Raw genomic sequence first — 16,465 nt, 5'->3', positions numbered from 1 at the left:
ACCATATCAGAGAGTTAAAGATGCACGCTGATGTTTATACAGACTTCCTGCCCATCTTAATGTCAACACCCTTCTTTTCCCCATTAGATCTTATCCTTAGCTTCCCTTTATGCTCCAGAACTTTCCATGTCCCTCAAACTGTCAAAAACCATCTGACCCTCCTTGCCTCAGGATCTTTCTCTCTACTAGCCAATCTGAAGTAAAATATGCCTGAACAGGTGACATCTTAATGTGTTAGCAGTGGCATAGGCAGAAAAATGATTGACAGCCCTTGGGCTAAAAAGCCCCAGATTGTGTGTGTCCCCAGCTTCGTCACTCATTAGCTACTTGGACTAAGTCTCTGCTTCTGCCTCTGCAAAGAGGAAGTTATAGCAATCTTAAAAGGTTGTTATGGAAATTAAATGAGATAATGCTTTGTAAATTATAAATTCCTATAAAATCATATAAAGTATTATTATTGTTTGAACTTTCCTCCCTTCCTAGCAGACCCTAAAGGGGCAGCAGAAGCCTAGGTCAGAGGAGGACTGAGGTGGGATATGGGTAGAATACCAAAGAAAATTTAAAACACAGCAACCATCTGGGGTTTTGGCCAGAGAGCTATATACTAAGGAAGAGGCAACTGGGAAGTCCCAGGGAAAGAAAGTGGGTTTACTGGAAACTGTTCCTAGGGAGCATCCCAGAGGTTCTGGGATGAAGCCAGTGGGGGTGTTTATAGGATACCTGAGGCTAGTCATTAACAGAGAGAAAGAGGGTAAGTTCCATGAGCTTGTTCAAATGTCTTATTTCACTTGTTCTCATTTAACCAGGCCTTCTGGAGAATACCTAGCTAACAAAGGCATGAAAATATCAGACCCTATGGCAGAATGTTGGGTCTGATTGGAGCTATCCCTAAATATAAAATGATGAAGAGATACCTGTTTTCCTCTACAGAGCTCTTTGCAGGAATTTCTGATGATCTGAGAGTTGATCAAGACCTCAGCCATCCCAGCATGGTACCTAACCCTGGGTGCAAACTTCCAGATGGGCAGAGGATGAGAGAGTGAGGGATGGAGGGCAGTGGCACTGAGTTAATTGCATAGGGTCTGCTTGCAAATCCTTCTGCACTCAGCATCAAAGCATTTTTATACCAAATCCATCATACCTTTTTGTCAACCAGTAAATTACTGAAAATATAATTAGTCTCATATGTGAAACATCATGAATTTTTTTATTTTAAAAAAAGAATTTTCATTCTTAAAGCAGTTAGTAATCATCACTATAGATTTCAGGGTAAATCTAAATTTTACTTTAAGAATTCCTCCGGAATGCCACGCCTCTCTCTTTTAAATTACAAATGTTACTCACATTTTTTAAAATGTTTAAGATTTATCTTAAATTTTTGGGGGGCTGGGTGTGGTATGTTCCAATGGGAGAGGACAATAAGGAAAGGTCCAGTCATGATGATCTGGAGATTTCCAAGTAGGGACTCATGGCAGACAATGATTGCATATCTGATATCCATTCTCCCCTTCTTTCTTACTGATATCTAAAGCCACATTTCTCAGGCTCTCTGAAGCTAGCAGTGACACATTTGTAGTTCTGACTATTACAATTGAAGTGGAAGTCCCTGGGAAGAATATGTCCTTTTGTGCTCCCCCACTCTTTTCTGAAACTAAGGTGGCTTGCAGGAGGGAGGAGCAGTCCTCTTGGACCTTAGTGACTGTGGGCAATCATAGGGACTAAATTCACACACGAAAAATAGCAGAGCAGGAAGTTAGAAGGGACCCGGTTCCTTGACAGTGTCATGGAGTTGCCACAATAGCCCTGTATTATCTACCTCTGAACTTCTCCTTCCAAGAGAAAAATAAACCGCCTCGTTTGTTTAAGAGATTTCTTTTCCTTTTTTTTTTTTTGTTGTTGTTGTTACTCAAGCCTTATGCTCTTCCTCCATGTCACTAAGCCATCGTGCAGCAAATAGAAGGTCCAAAAGTTGACAGGAGTCTACAAAAGATATGTGTGATTCTTTTATCAACAAAACATATGTGTTAAATGTTCCTAGCAAGAAGGATCACTTGTTAAGCCCCTACCAAGTACCACCGGCTGTACCACATGTTTTATGCACATTATCTTATTTAATCCTTCCAGGCCAGTACTATTATCTATAATTATGGGATCCCAAACCTCAGAGAGCTTAAATAACCTGCCCAAAGTACACAGTTAGAGGAAGAATCAGAAACTGCAGTTAGGTCTGTGTGACTGCAACACCAGAGCTCTTTTCAGTAAGTGATACTACATGTAACTCAAAGTGCCATGTGATATGACCCATACCAGGCACTCAGAGAAATGCCTGGAGTCCCAGATGATTGATGATCATGGGAGAGCAGGTGAGAGGAGCAGCAGGAATGAATGGCTGCCCCAACATTTCCTGATAGCTCAGCCTCAAAACTCACTCCCCAATGAACACACTGCAGCCAGAAGTGGCCTGAAGTGGCCTGACATGGTTCCTGACTGGACTCCTTCCCTGAATCTATCTCATACTGGATAGCTTGATAACGTTTCATTTTCTCTCGTAGTCCAGTGCTGGCCATTGATCAAGCTAACTGAGAAAGGAAACTATAATGTATTCTATTTACAGGTGATAATAGTTTCATAAGGATGCTGGGTTTTTCTTCTGAAATATAAATGAGCAATACTGTGGGAAATTAAATTTTTCTTATCAAAGATGCAAGCTGCCAAATCAGTGAAGGCCCCTGCCAGATGGCCCAAGCCAGAGAAAGTCTGCTCTTGAGTCTTTCTTTCCCTTTTGGCATCTCTCCTACATCTTTCACACAACCTCTTCCAGCCTCGCTGCTCTCTTCTTCTCTTAGGACCCATTGTCCATGTCACCCAAATCATCTCCTAATGCCCCCTCTTTGGGTGGCCCCAGAGCCATTTCTAGAAGCTTCCATGTAAAGCCTCTAAGGTGTAAACATTCCTGTCTCATCGACCTCTACTTCCGCAGACATTTTACTGCAGTAGTGTTCTTTCCATCTTCCCCAGGATATAAAACAGTACTTTATATATACATGGATATTTCTTTTTAGAAATAGTTCAACAATATATGTTTCTGTGAATAATATCCTTGTTAAAAATGCCCTTTTGTGGAATGGATTAGGGATTACTAGTCTCTCAAACTGGTAGTATTAAAAAAAATGCAGCCAAATTTTATTGTTTTGTAATTCTTTAAAGGAATTACTTATTTCAGGTACTGAGGTTATCCTGAGCTTCAAATCTACTCAACACCCACATATTGACACTTTGGTAGCCTCAGTTCAGCTAACTGGATTTATTTCTAAGTGCCACGTTTCAGTTTCATTCCAATTAAGTTTTTAGCTTCTCACAAAAAAGATGAAACTCTAATCTTGGCTTTTCAAAAGGCTGTTGCCAGTACATATGCCTACTGATTACAGACACCAGCAACTGTGTTTTAGAAGTGTAATATTATGACAAAAGATGTGTGAACGCTGTCTCTCTTATGCTGGGAAGTAGAAAAACCTTTACCTATGAAGCACTGAATGCATGTGTTGAAAATTATGATGTAAAATCATAACGTCAAAGTCTGAGGAGAGAGGGAAAAAATATTTTCAATTATTGGCCCATCTTTCATTTCCTCTTTGTGGCCAAACACCAGAAAGAGCTAGTTTTTATCTGCTGCCTACTGCTTCTGCCCAAGGACATTTGTCTTTAGGTTTTACATGAAATCACTCTGCTAAAGTTCTGAATCATGAAATCAATCAACTTTCGTAGCTCTTTTTGTATGCATTTGAAACTATCAGCATCTCCTATTTCTTACTTTTGTCTTCTTTTCAGCTTCTCCTCATCTCCCCATGCCCTTACTCAATTTCCTTCAGTATTTTCTATCTCTAATAACAGCACTTCCTCTGGGAGCATTTAGGTCCATTAGGTGACCCAATTGCCACTCCTCCCACCAGCCCAATCTGAGCCCCAGCTCCTCTTGTCCCAATGCCAAGAATTCCCTGAGCCAACTTTCACTTCAGTCCCCCAGCCTGATCTCAGCCCCAGCTCTTCCTGTCCCAGTGCCAAGAATTTCCTGGGCCAGTTCCCAGCTCAGCTAGAATCTTCATCATCTTTTGGGTCCTCTCAGCATAAAGACTTTAAAAATCTCACTCTTCCCTTCCCACCCAAGGACATAATGCCTCTTGGCTTACCTCACGAAGTCTTTACCACTCCCTGCTAACTTTCTCTTAAGAAAGATTGTGTGAACAAAGAAACTAAAATTGGTTAAAGAAGGGCTCATAGAGGAAAGAGAAAAGGAGAAATAAGGCAGAAAAGAAAAAAAGATGTGCAGCAGAAAGTAAATTAACACAATAAAGGATGATGGAAGAAAAGAGAAAAAAACAAGGACTTCAATTCTGACTGCTGAGATTTGGGGTCCTACAATAATAATAACTATTTTGAGCTTATATTTTATAGGTGTTGTCTCATTTAAGCCTTACATGCCTTTAGGTTGTTACTATTATTATACTTGTTCTTTAATGAAACTTAATGATGAATGGTTTCAGTGAAGTCAGAGTCTTCTTGCGGAAGGATAGGGCAGGAGTTGGAAATGTGGGCAGTGGTCGAAATGTAGGCAGATTTCTTTTCTGGAAGGAGTCTCAAGATGAGTAGTTTGCCTGAGGTTACATAACTAGTGAATCGCCCAGTTGGGATTCAAACTCAAATCAGCCTGACGCACAGTACCTATCTCAGAAGCCCGGGAAACAAAAAGGAGTCAACAGGAAGAAATTTACTCGACTAAAAAGTGGTAAATAAAAAAAGAACGAAATCATGTTCTTTGCAGCAACATGGATGCAGCTGGAGGTCATTATCCTAAGCGAATTAATGCAGAAACAGAAAACCAAATACCAAGTGTTTCCCCTTATAAGTGGGAACTAAACATTGGGTACTCATGGACATAAAGATGGCAACAATGGAGATCCATGGTGGAGCTCAACAGAGAAGAATTGGAGCAGACTTTCTTTGATCATTTTACCAAAGTATCATGAGATTTACATAGAGTGACATTTGGATATTTTAACTACCCCAAAATCTTTCAATCAATTTATCAAGCTTCTAATATATTTTTATAAATTACTATCTTTATAAAAGACCAAATGTCAATAGTTGCCCAGGGCAAATCTCTTTAGTGATGGAGAATATAAAAAAGCTAAAGTTGGCCGGGCGCGGTGGCTCACGCCTGTAGTCCCAGCACTTTGGGAGGCCGAGGCGGGCGGATCACGAGGTCAGGAGATCGAGACCATCCCGGCTAAAACGGTGAAACCCCGTCTCTACTAAAAATACAAAAAATTAGCCGGGCGTGGTGGTGGGCGCCTGTAGTCCCAGCTACTTGGGAGGCTGAGGCAGGAGAATGGCGTGAACCCGGGAGGCGGAGCTTGCAGTGAGCCGAGATCCCGCCACTGCACTCCAGCCTGGGCAACAGAGCGAGACTCCGTCTCAAAAAAAAAAAAAAAAAAAGCTAAAGTAGAATAAATAAACAAATACAGAAAAGGGGTCTAGAAAATGACACAGGGTGGCAAATTGCCCTGGTGGTATTCACTTTTGCTTCTGAAAAAGTCCTGAGGGTTTCAGGGTGCGGTAACAGTGCCAACCCCACCACTACTTGTTTCCCGGAAATCAATGAAACAGGGAAAATCCCTAGGAACTGGAAAAGGACAAATGCCATAAAACCATTTTCAGTAGAAGAATAAGAGGGGCTCTATAATTACAGATCAATAAACAGAAGAATTATCTTTTGGAAGATAAATAAAACAAACCATCAAACAACTAATTACCACCTAAAAGTACAAGAAATATATGTAAGGGGAAAACAAACAGTACTTCATGAAGTGTAAATATTAACAAGTCTATTTAAATCCATTTTTAAATAGTCTCTCAGAAACAAACAACTGTGTTTAGCCTGAATACACAGCCTAAAAGGAAATCCAAAAATCATCAGGCTGGGAAAGATTCATTTAGCCTTCTGTGATGGTTAGAAAGCAGCTATTTCTTCAGTCACACAACCTCACAATCTAAGCTTAGCATTGGGAAACTTGTTTACTGCTGGTGAAACAAGAGTCCAGAATGTAGCACAAATGAAAGCCCCTACCATACAATTTTCTCACTGTTGATTCTGGGGTTTGTTTGTTTGTTTGTTTGTTGAGACGGAATCTTGCTCTGTAGCCCAGGCTGGAGTGCAATGGCGTGATCTCGGCCACTGCAACCTCCACCTCCCGGGTTCAAGCTATTCTCCTGCCTCAGCCTCCTGAGTAGCTGGGATTACAGGCACGCACCACCATGCCTCTCTAATTTTTGTATTTTTAGTAGAGACGGGGTTTCACCATGTTGGTCAGGCTGGTCTCTAACTCCTGACCTCGTGATCCGCCTGCCTCGGCCTGATTCTGGTTTTTAATACACAACCCTCACCAGCTCTTTTTCTTACAGCCCATCTTTTCTGCAGAATGATAACAGCAAGCTTTAACATGAATAGTGGCCTATAATTATTTCATTTTACAAAAAACACTGGTCTAATATTCATTAATAAAAAAGCTATCCAATAAAAGTTATCTATCACCTGAGCCCCATCAGGGGCTATTTTCAGTTCTAGCTGAAAATACAAGTTAAATGAGTAAAAACTCAAATTTTGACCACAGACTATGAGCCAAAACCCTGTTAGTTATCTTAAATACTTTACTGTATTTCATATTCACAAAAGCTCTGTCATGTAGCTGTTCTGTATCCCAATTTTACACAACATAAATCTTTCTCACTATATTTAGAACATATGTGGAAATACAAGAAAGCATATATAAAATGTGGAAAATACAAGAAAGCATAAAGAAAGGAAAAAAAAATCAGACACCTTTAATCAATCACTGTAATTTTCTTCCAGGGTTTTTCTTTGCCCATTTAGAGCCTACTGATATGCATTTTCCAATGCCATTTAAGAATATTTAAATATTTATTTTGCAGCTACAAAATATCTCATTTTATTTATCAATGTAACATCATTCCTCTGTTGTTTCTAAAAAACCATACAAAAGTCTTTCACCAAGTATCTGATTATTTTCTTTGAATGAATCCGAGAAGTGAAATTACTTGCCAAGATGTATAATTTCTAAAATATTCTTGATCCCTATTGTCGAGTTTCTTTCCGTAAATCTTATAGTAGTTTATCATCCACCAGCAACATATGAGTGTTCACTCATTTGCCAGCATTTAGAATTATCATTCATTAATCTTTTTAATAATATAATAGGTGAAAGTAGAATCATTTTGTTTTACTCGCATATTTTTCTTCACTTTACAGGGCATTTTCTTTCTTATTTTATAAATTATCCATTGACAATTATTATATATTTCTTACTGATTTCTCATTTTCTTTATATGTCAGGAACATTCATCTTTACTAGTTTTTCATTTAGCTTCTAATTATAAATTTTGTATCAGAAGCTTTTGATTTTGCATTCCCTATTTTTCCCTTTATAATTTCTTCCACTTTCACTCTTTAAAAGCCATCTTTGTAGACCATCCATCAATCTTCTTTCTGACCTTGAAATCCAAGCAATCGTCAAGTCCTATAATTCAACATCTCTTGTGTATCTTTCTATTTGCAAGACACCAATTCAAACTACCATAATCTCCTGACTATTCCAACGGCTTCCCAGCTACATTCTCAATCTCCAGACTTCCTCACTTAATCCACTCTCCTCCTCACTGGTGCCAAAGTAGTCATCACCTACTTAAAGTCGTTCAAGGGTGTTCCCTTTCTGTCAGGATAAAATCGAACTGATAACAAGGCTGACAAGGCCATACCCTCCAGCCTCATTTCCCCCAACTCCCCACTTCCCACTCACACTCTGGCTTCAGCCACAGCAACTCCTTCCAGTGCCTGGGGCTCCATCCTTTTCATCACCTGTGAGCTATTGCTTATTCTATCTATGCCTGAAACACTCTTCTTCCTGAACTTCCCTCAACCCCTCATTTTCCTTCAGGAAAGACTTCCATTCACCTTCCAGATCACACATTCTATATCCTCCAGGAATCACTCTGTGATACCATCGCCACTTGCCCCACTCCTTCCTCCCCAGGCTGAGTTATGAGCCCTACTATGTGTTCAAATAGCAAAGAGTTTCCATAACATCACCTAAGACTGTGTGTATGGCTGAATAATCTTCCCCCACCCCCAACCCACAAGTATACACACATACTCACACCCGCACACATTCACACATTGTACATCTTAAGAGCAGTGGCCAAGCCCATCTTCTCCACAGCTGATTTTCAAAACTTATCACAGTACCTGGTACATAATCAGTTCTAGAGGAATATTTGTTGAACAAACATGAGGTTAACTAAATATTTATTTTTCTTTTAATTTTTACAATATATTTTGTTGTTTTATGTAATCTCTCTAATCCATGTGGATTTACTTTGGTAATGGGAGAATAAATCCCTTTCTCGTTGATATATGATACGTCCTTTGTCACACTTTAAATTCTTACATATTCTTAAATGTGCTTTGTGGCTATCCGTTTTCCTCAAGAAAACTGTCTTTAGTTTCTTACAATAAAAACAAGCTACTTTTATTATTGTGTTTTTCTGATACATACATTTTTAATATCTAGTAGCACAGCACCCTTCATTAACTTCCTTTTTAGAAATTCTATCAGCTATTCTCATTTATTCCTTTCTTTCAGATAACTTTAAAATTATTGTCTAAGTTTCAGCCAGGCGCAGTGGCTCACGCCTGTAATCCCAGCACTTTGGGAGGCAGAGGCGGGCAGACCACGTGATCAGGAGATCGAGACCATCCTGGCTAACACTGTGAAACCTCATCTCTACTAAAAATACAAAAAATCAGCTGGGCGTGGTGGTGGGCGCCTGTAGTCCCAGCTATTCGGGAGGCTGAGGCAGAATGATGTGAACCCGGGAGGCGGAGCTTGCAGTGAGCCGAGATAGAGCCACTGCAGTCCAGCCTGGGTGAAAGAGCGAGACTCTGTCTCAAAAAAAAAAAAAATTATTTTCTAAGTTTCCAAGATAAATATTCTATTGGAACTTTTGACTAAAATTGCATAGATTCTATAAAAAGAGTTTGGGAAGAACTGACATTTAAGGTCCGCTTTCACCTTTATGTCTTACTATAAAATGTTGTTATTTTTTAAATCTAGATTTTAAATTTTTCTTGTAGAGATTTTTTCTAGATTTTTATATTTTTGTGCTATTGTGAGTCATATTTTATACATATATGTCCCATTATGTAATATGCTATGTATATTATAAAATATGTATATAATATATAATTACATAATTTTATATGTCTATTAATTATTCATCAAGAATCCTAATTTTTCTTTTTATCTGCTGGTGCTGTGAGTTAGGCATACTCATACATGTCACCGTTTGTCCACATGGAATCATGGTTCAAATTCAAGTCTATCTAGATTTCAGCTCACTGCATGCATTTGTATATAAATTTCTTTTAAACTTTTACACACAGCATCTCTAATGACAAAAGAGGGAACCCTGGGGAGAACTGGGGAGAGGGCAGGGCAATAGGGATAGTTTTCTCCAAAGCTTTTTAACTAAAATTAGCTCTCCATACAGACATGTGCCATGCTTATTTCATAATTTTATTGCATTTTCTAGAACATTGACACAGTCTCCTGGGATGTATATATCTCAGTTTGGAAAATATGGCTTATAGTTCACTGTCTTTCCCCAGGAGGCTTCATATGAAGGATACGTAATCACATTTTAGAGTCAGGGAAACTTGGGTCTACAGACAAAGAATAAATTATTCAGATTTTTAGAGCTATCAAGTATACTATTACAAGGAGGATTCAGGATGATCAGTTCTTGTATCTAGAAGTAAACCAGTTGTCATTGAATAGGTAGCTATAAAATTCACTGTTCCAATTAAGTATCACAATAAAAGGATGACTCATGTCCTTAAAAAATTTAGTAATCGACATGAAATGAAAGTCTAGTACGTGTAGCTGTCATTTGGCAAAGCATCCATGTGAGGAAGAGCTTCTCCCGAGCTTCAAAATCACAAGTTCATGGAAAAAAATCACAGTTTACCATTTGTACAATGGTAAGCTGGAAACACTTAAGGAATATAACTGATAAAGACTTTTGATTAAGGCCGGGCGCATTGGCTATGCCTGTAATCCCAGCACTTTGGGAGACCAAGGCGGGTACATCACTTGAGGTCAGGAGTTCAAGACCAGCCTGGCCAACATGGTGAAACCCCGTCTATACTAAAAATAGAAAAATTAGTCGGGTGTGGTGGTGCACACGTGTACTCCCAGCTACTCAGGAAGCTGAGGCAGGAGAATCGCTGGAACATGGGAGGCGGAGGCTGCAGTAACCCGAGATTGTGCCATCGCACTCCAGACTGGGGAAAAGAGCGAGACTCCATTTAAAAAAAAAAAAAAAAAAAAGACTTTTGATTCAGAAGTGAGCTTTGAACAACTCCAGCTATGTATGCAGCAATTAATACCTAAAATCTTTATTTCAAAGTACCCAGCCAAAGAAAATGGAAAATGATCAACAAATGGTCTAGAAGCAGGACAATGACAGAAAGCGAAGCCATATGGAACCAATAAAGATTTCCCTTGGACTGCAAGGCCAAAGATTTTATCCCCTCACTCTTAAGAAATGCTGGGAGTTGATGCCTGAACCGTATAAGATACTCTCAGTTAAACAATGTTTGCTTAATTTGACGGCTTCGTGAATTGTGTTCAGTTCATTCCACAGTATGAGCTCAGTCATTCAAAATTTGTTTTGTTTACATAGTCCCCAGGAATATGAACCTCTCAGGTATTTCATCATAATTCTGGTAGTCTGAGAAGGCAGTCAGGTAAGCATCACCTACAGAATGGCATTCGAGGCAAGGGTGTTCTGATTGTACAGACCACAGCTAACACACATACATCAGATCCCCTCCCTGCTGAGGGGCTACTGGCTCCTGAGATGAAAATCTCATAAATATAATAAACGGCAACACTGATTCCATAAGCCACAAGTTGGAAAACGTATTCTATTATGTCTTAGTCATACCATACACACTATAATATTTCCACATGTGCTGGGTAACCACAGTCTGTGATGGAGTGTGGCTCATTTATTGCTACTACATATTTTATGATAAAAAGCATTTGAAAAAATATTGAGAAAATTCAGTAAGACAAAAGACAAGCAATCTGGCATCGTGCTCTGGTTCTGCTACTCTGATCTTCACAAGTTGCTTAACATTTATGCTTTGATTTTCTCAACTAGAAAATTCAGGCATTAGACTAGATGGGCCTATGCTCCGTTTCAGTTGAAATATTCTGTCAATTAGATCTAAGATTTATACGACGCTAACATTCCAATAAAAATTCTGGCCTGTTGTTGGCATTCTATGCATATCCCGACATTTAGGATCATCTGAATGTTTTACTAAAATTTTTACTGTTGTCATTTCTCAGTTTTCTCAAATTGATGTTTCCAATACTTTAAACACTGGAGCACCACATATATTAGGAAGGCTTTATCTACGTTATAAACTATGGAAGTGAAAGACAGTTTTAAATGTAATCACATTTTATGAAAAATAAAATTATCCACACTTGCTACACTTTAGTTTTCTGGTTACTATAAACACTTGAAAGCCAAGTTGTAAAATTCTTCTGTAAACCTTTGGGAAATGAGCACTGGTGTGTCTAACCCCCTCTCAGACTGCAGGTGACCTTGTCAGCAATAGGAAGCCATGAGAACTCAAGTACTACAGATAGAGCCAGGTATGCTGTGGGGGCACCTCTCTGGAGGACACAGAGCTGCAATTTGCAAGCTGTGAGTGGCCCCTGCATTTGAATCCCACAGCTCTGTATCATAAATAGAAATGATGAGAAAAAACACAAGTCAGCTTAGCTATTAATTATAAAAGAAAGCTCTGTTAAAAGAACTCTTCTAGCCTTATCAAAAGTCTCCCAAAACTGGTTTTTCAGGACTAGGCTATGAATAAAGTTTGAAAATTGCCCCCATATACATTAATCACTCCTTAGGTTAGAATGCAGAATATACCATAGAGAAGTTGGCCAGATGCCCACAGATCCCTGTGAGGAACCATGTACCCTTATTCTGCTCCCACACCCTGCCTTTACTCCTTGGTACTTTCAAGTGAGAAATGGTGATTTTCTTATTTGGGGAAGATAGGGTGGAGACAAAAACCTCATAAATATAAACCTCTCTCTCTCTCATAGCTCAGCAACTTGCAATATTTTTAGCAGTAGAGAAAAAAATAAATATGACTTATTAACTATAAAGCAATATTTGAGTTCACTATTTCACTAAAAGCATCATTTATGAAAACAGAAAGATCCTTTAAAAAATGTTTGTATAGTCGCTTGAGAAAATAAACCAGCAGGTGCTGGTCCCTTCACTTAAAGAATTTATTATCCTTTGTGTGGCAGGATTCACCAGCTGACAGCTCCCACCCAGAAAATCAAATAGGTGCTCGTTTCTGTGATGCCCATAACGTGTAAAATTGCCAAGAAGTTCAATGCAATGTGACCTAAAAGTACAGCAAGGAAGAGCAGAGCTAACAGCCAGCTGGAGGCTGTCAAAATTTACAGGAAGAAAAGACAAAGATAATACAGTAAGTTCTAATTTTAATCATTTGTAAGGAACACAGAGAAAGCTGTGCACATACAGCAGATGTATTTCTGTTTGCAAGTATAATTCAACTTACCTCTATTGAGCAGAAAATCAGGACTTTTTGGCTAACCAGCCTGTAGTGATTCCCTGGGAGGATCTGGCTGAAAGAAATGGGAACCTAGAGTTTATTCAGTGGAGTCTCAACCTCTACCTGACTGTATTAGTGAACAGTTCAGAGGTTTCTTGCTCAGCGGCTGAGTCACTCAGGGAGGAGGTGTGTGGTATGCAACAGGGTGTCACCTTGTACAAATACCAGTTCAATTAAAGCATTCTCACTCATATACCTACTGTCTTTGTTTGAATTCTTTGTTTAACTTATGGCCTTATGCAAAAAAAAAAAAAACATATATATATATATGCTCCTGTGATCACCCTTTTAACTGATATCAACAGTATGCACAACCATATCACTGACAAGGTGGCATAGGACCCAACCTATTTTGTATTCTCTTTCAAAAAATAAAATTGAAAACTCAAGATAGAAGGAACCCCCATACACCCATAGTACCTGGAAGGCAGGGGCACAGACAAGCATGCAAGGAGTATATGGCTTAAAGGAATCTTCAAGACAAACAAATTCTCAGAAACCCAGGAACCCTAGGATTAGAAAACACAAAAGAAGTCTGTTCCACACATTCTACACCTAGACTATTTTGTAAAACTATCAGAGGGAAAATACACCTAGCATGTAAGAATTCTAATCTCTATCTTATTTATCCATGTATAAAAAAATGTGAAAAGGGGCCAGGCGTGGTGGCTCACATCTGTAATCCCAGGACTTTGGGCGGTGGAAGCAGGCGGATCACCTGAGGTCAGCAGTTCAAGATCAGCCTGGCCAACATGGTAAAACCTGATCTCTACTAAAAATATAAAAATTAGCTGGGCGTGATGGCACACACCTGTAACCCCAGCTATATTAAATAACTATAACACACCATGATAAAGTCATATACAGAAATTTTCAATGCCAGGCATCGCATAGTGGAGAGAAGGAAGAACCTGGAAGGTGATGTTGATGCAGAGTTTTAAAGTCTGAGTGGACAATGATTAGATGGTCAAGAAGAAGAAGAACCATTCATCCACTCTGGCAGGAGGAGGCAGGAGAATCACTTGAACCAGGGAAGTGGAGGTTACAGTGAGCCAAGATCACACCACTGCACTCTAGCCTAGGCAACAGAGTGAGACTGTCTCAGAAAAAAAAAAAAAATGTGAAAAGGATGGTTGAAACTTCTTTCAATGCTGAGGGCAGCAGTAGACCCAACATCAAAGGCTGCTTCTGGCCAGTTGCAGTGGCTTTCACTTGCACTTTGGGAGGCCAAGGTGGGAGGATCACTTGAGCCAAGAAGTTCGAGACAAACTGGGCAACACAGTAAGAGAAGATCTCATCTCTACTAAAAATAAAAAAATCAGCTGGGTGTGGTAGTGCATGTCTTTGGTCCCAGTTACTCAGGAGGCTGAGGCAAAGAGAGTCTCTTGAGCATGGGAGGACCAAGCCACAGTGAGCTGTGATCACACCACCGCATTCCAGTATGGGTGACAGAGTGAGACCCTATCTCAAAAAACAAAACAAACAGACAAAAAAAACAAAAAAAACCCAACAAAAAACAAAGGCTGCTTCCGCTGGGAGGAAGGAGTAACACTGAAGAGCCATTCTAGGCGGGGACTCCTGTTACAGGTTTTGAAACACACCTTCCCTAAGAGCCAAAGAGGCTTTAAAGAAGCTTAGCAAACATTGTTGAGAGAAGCCACGTCATCAGAACTTCCTGGGTGATCGTCATTCATATGTCACACCAGCAATGAACCAAATCCCCCCTGAACAACTGCTCCTGAAAACTACAATGCAGCTGAGTGACGCCCACTGAAATGACTGTAACAAGAAGCAGAAACCCAGACTGAAGAGCAAGGCAATTGCAGTATGTGGTCATTGTGACTGGGAGACCACTTCCTGTATGTTCCCTGATGTTCCCTTATTCTGGGCTGAGGAATTTGAAAATCTAAAATGGAAAATGTTCTTTCAAAGTAAAACATATATACGTGTCTACTCAGCTTTTTTATGGAATTTTATACATGCAAAATATTTTTAAAATATGCTTTAAGTTTCTGTGATGCCCAAAAATCTTGGTTTGAATATTAATATTACAAATGATAAAGCTGAAAAACAAAGACGTGACTTAACTCAAAAGATAAACTAGAAGCAATCTTCAGCCTTAGAACTTAGCCAAAAAGAAAGAAAACAGTTTAAGAGCTCCCTTGTAGGGATAAGTTGTAATTTACATTACAGAATGTTGAAATATATTACTTCATGAAACACAGAACCAGAAAGATAAGTTTTTATCTTATAATGAAGTAAAGTGCAGCTACTCAAGTTATGGATTTTGAGCTTCCAAGCAATTATTTCTGCATGCAATTAAGGGTTTCTCTTACTTTATACATCAGACCATCCACACTGCTAAGCCAAACCAGTGTTTTTTCATTTAGAATCAAATCTCTAGTATAAAAAGGGACTAATTCTAAACCATTGAGCAAAATTCAGACCTCTTCATGCTGAGCAGACATGACTGCCTAAAATTTAAAATCTCAAATGTGAAGAGGTTGAATCAAGAACGTTTTCGGGTGTGGAGGTAGCCAAATAGCCTGAGCATTAGTTTCACTCAGGTGTTTAACTGGGAAGACTTGGGCATGCTTGGAATAACTTGGCTTCACCACACCTATTCACTTTCAGTGTTGGAGTTCTTAAGATCTCTCTAGAACTGTAAGCTCAGAAGCTGAAATGCCAAATGGGTTTTATCTCAGGTACAAATGCCAATTGATTGGTGATGGCTTCCTGGAGGAATATGTTGAGGTTTGTAAGCAAGTAGGGACTCAACAAGGGAATGTCCATGGTTAATTAGCAATATCCACCACAGGTCTTGAATGGGGGAATGTTTTCTGACCCTGTCTCATAAAATTAGATGTTGCAACATCACATTGCTTTGTCTATGTGTTATATCCAAAGAAACAACCAGCCAAAATGAGCACCGTTTTTTTGAGTTTAGGTTCACAGCAAAATTCAGAATAAACAACAAAGAGTTCATGTATACCCTCAGTGTCCCCATTACCAACATCCCACATCACAGTGGGACATTTGTTACAATTAATGAACCTGCATGGATGCATCACTAACACCCGAAGTCCATAGTTTACATCAGGGTTCATTCTTGGTTTTGTATATTCTTTGAGTTTGGAGAAATGCCTAATGACATGTATCCACCATTATAGTACCACACAGAGTAGTTTTGCTGCCCTAAAAAATCCTTTGTGTGCTGCCTAGTCATACCTCCCTCCCTGCAGCCCCTGTTAACCGCTGTTCTTTTTACTGTCTCCATAGTTTTGCCTTTCGCAGAATGTCGTATTGTTGGAATCATGTAGTATGTAGCATTTTCCAGACTGGCTTCTTTTACATAGTAATATGCATTGAAGTTTTCGTCATGTCTTTCCATTTAAGTTTTCTCCATGGCTTAATAGTTCATTTCTTTTGAGTGTTAAATAATATTCCAAGGCCAGGCATGGTAGGTCACACCCATAATCCCAGCACTTTGGGAAGCTGAGGTGGTAGGATTGCTTGAGGCCAGAAGTTCAAGACCAGCCTGGGCAACACACTAAGATCCTGACTTAAAAAAAAAATAAAATAAAATAACAGTAATAATAATATCCCTTTGTCTGGATGTACCACAGTTTATTTATTTATTCACTTCACCTACTGAAGGAC

At 39.3% G+C, this 16,465-nt stretch overlaps 1 protein-coding gene across 25 annotated transcripts in view; it reads right to left on the bottom strand.

Moving 5' to 3' along the window:
* Positions 1-12,870, bottom strand: part of SCEL (sciellin) — a 109,558-nt gene extending 96,688 nt beyond the window's left edge. For all 25 annotated transcript variants that reach the window (NM_144777.3, XM_011535290.2, XM_011535283.2 and 22 more), the window contains exon 1: positions 12,752-12,870. The gene's annotated coding sequence lies outside the window, so the exon portion shown is untranslated. The remainder of the gene's footprint in view (positions 1-12,751) is intronic.
* Between the last annotated feature and the right edge of the window lie 3,595 nt (positions 12,871-16,465).

This window comes from Homo sapiens, chromosome 13 (assembly GCF_000001405.40).
Source record: "Homo sapiens chromosome 13, GRCh38.p14 Primary Assembly".
Classification (NCBI taxonomy): Eukaryota; Metazoa; Chordata; class Mammalia; order Primates; family Hominidae; genus Homo; species Homo sapiens.
The sequence above is the reverse complement of the archived record's forward strand: the minus strand, read 5'-3'. Positions and strand labels throughout refer to the sequence as shown.